Source organism: Homo sapiens, chromosome 9 (genome assembly GCF_000001405.40).
Source record: "Homo sapiens chromosome 9, GRCh38.p14 Primary Assembly".
Classification (NCBI taxonomy): Eukaryota; Metazoa; Chordata; class Mammalia; order Primates; family Hominidae; genus Homo; species Homo sapiens.
Genome location: NC_000009.12, coordinates 80,174,147 through 80,177,163, shown reverse-complemented (window position 1 = coordinate 80,177,163; position 3,017 = coordinate 80,174,147).

The window sequence follows — 3,017 nt, the reverse complement described above, 5'->3', positions numbered from 1 at the left end:
CTCAAATGAATGGGCATAATAAGCGAGCAATTAAGCCAGAGCTTCACTCCTTGTTTTTTGTTTTTTGGTTTTTTTTTAAGAGACAGGGTCTCATTCTGTTGCCAAGGCTGGAGTGCAGTGATGTGATCATAGCTTACTGTGACCTCAAACCCCTGGGCTCAAGTGGCCTTCTCAAGTGAGTGAGTTCTCACAAGATCTGGTTGTTTAAAAGCATGTGGCACCTTTGCCACCCACTTGCTCTTTCTTGCTCCCACTCTCTCCATGTGATATGCCTGCTTCCATTTCACCTTCCTCCATGAATAAAGGCTCTCTGAGGCCTTCCTAGAAGCCAAGCAGATGCCAGTGCCATGCTTCCTGTACACCCTGCAGAACCACAAGCCAATTAAACCTCTTTTCTTTATAAATACCCAGCCTCAGGTATATTTTGTAGCAATGCAAAAATGGCCTAACACACTGAGTATGATGGTGCGCATCTGCAGTCCTAGCTACTTGAGAGGCTGAGAAGAGAGGGTCACTTGAGTCCAAGGGTTTGAGGTCACAGTGAGCTATGATCACATCACTGCACTCCAGCCTTGGCAATAGAGTGAGACCCTGTCCCTTAAAAAAAAAAAAAAAAAAAAAAAAAAAAAAAAGGACTGAAGTTCTGGTTTAATTGCTCATTTATTAGGCCCATTCATTTGAGCAACTTGAAAATGGAGATAGAGCTATAAAATGATGATCTTAGAAAATCCTCACCCAATTTGATGAAGGTTTGGAAAATGTTGCAAAAAGTTATTTGCTTTATTTTAAAAATATTTTAATCAATTCTGGGAGGCTCTTTTTCTTGTTAGATAGCTTGAATGGTGAGAAGGAAATTGCTGCTCATTAAAATACAGTTTAAAGGAATTCTAATTACTCTTAATAGGTGAAAGAGAGTAACATGATCTATTTTCAAAACACTGTTTTGGTTCAGATCTTCCATCAAAATAATGTTTATGGTTCTTGCCACCAATACTGAATTATATTTCTTAAAAGTCAGACTGCTGCTTAATTTCTGCATATTTCTTTTAAACTTTCTTTTATCATATTTATTAATATGATGTAAACAACAGAAGTTGATGTTTAAGTGCAGTTCAAATATCAAGTCTAAGGAACTCCAGTGAAAAAAATCCCATATCTCTTGCCAAAATCTTGTCAGCTCTCTGGTGACTTGCTAGCTGAATAGCTCTTTTAACCATTAGATGAATAGGGTTGTTTAAAGGGGATGAGAGCCAATTTTTTTTAAGTATTTGTACATACTAAGAACAATTCTAGGATCTCTCTTACTGTATATCATTCAAGTCTCACTATTTTACATTCTACAAATGTGAAAAGCAAGGTTCAATGTATTTTATTAACTTGCTGAAAGGCACACAGTAGTACATACAAGCAAGAATTCAATCTCAAATTTGTTAGACTAAAATTTGAGCTATAATTTGACATTAATAGAAATAGCACTAAATTTAAAATCCAGAGATTTTTTAAAATTTCATGTTCTTTCACTATCTGTCTTTGACTTGAGATAAATAATTTCAGGTGTATGGGCCTTAGTTTTCAGGTGTAAATCTGACTAGATGATCTCTATATGGTTTTCTAATTCTAAAATGTTTTATTAAATTGGCCTCCTACAATAATTGCCCTTGCAATATATGTATGCTGCCACCACGTGGCAGTAAAGAGTACTAGTTTCTCTTTTTTTTTCCAAGTGGGGAGTACATTTGACATGACTTAACCATGGAAAGTTCATATCTATTAATATAACCATAAAGTAATTATATTATGAGGTATTATTTACTATAAAGCAGAGGCTTTAAATTATGGCTGTGAATCACATCAGAATCACATATGGAGGTTTTTAACCATAGAAAAAATTCAGATCCTATTGAATAATAATTGTTAGTGATGGGGCTTGAGCATCTGGACTTTGTTTTTTTTTTCTTCCAGTGATGATTCTGATATATGGCCAGTTTTAGGATAAGCGAAAAGAAATAAAGTGTAAAAGATGCTGAAACTAGCTGCTAACATTTTATAACTAACCTTTAACCTTCTTTGTATACATAAAGAAAATAGTTTACAAATATTATCTTCCTTTGAATTTATCAAATATAACTTATTCTGAACTATTTCTAAATCATTTTTCACTCTCAAACTTTAGCTTCCTTCTTTTCAGATCACCCTTGCATTGCCCTAGGTGTGCAGATACTTCCATGAAATACCTGGGTCTAATTTACCACCATTGAAATGCAATTTTTCTCCTTTCTCCATCAATAGAGTAGTGAAACAGTTCACATACCCCACGAACACCTTGAGTTATCCCCACAGTAACTTTGGGGGCTTAAAAACCTGCTGGAAGGGAATGATTCAAAAATACTAATTCAAAGCAATACTATAAAATGAGTACTAAAATAAATTAAAGCAAACAATATAATTTGTGTTTATTCTCAGTACACATATCTGCAAGGTACATACCCACCAGAGTATTGTAAGGATCTATGCCAAGCCTGGTCTCTCATGTATTGGAGAAGAAAAAAAGCAAGTTCCCTAACATCTCAGCTGGGTCACACTGGTTTAATGTTACCACTGGAAGATGATTGATAAGTATGTATTAGGCAAATATCATTTTAATGGCTACATAATCAGGAGAATTCCCAGGCAAATACACATACATATACATGCACACAAACACTCACTCATCCCTCTTTACAGAATATAATATTTAATCATGAAATGGACTTTCTTCTTTTGGTAGTAATCGCTCTTTTGCTTTTCCCATATTTTTTTTGTCTGAGAATTGACTACAAAGTCAACTATTGAAAGAGGCAAATTTGAAGGGTTTGAACAATTTAAAAATTCATTTACAGTATTCAATGGGAAAAGAAAGTAATTCCTTCTTGTGTTGATGAAAACCCTACATTAAGGAAGAAAAAACCAGTGTCACATTACAGAGACTGCAGAAGAGAGAAAGGAACATAGCTGCATTCATGCACCTCCTTGTATCT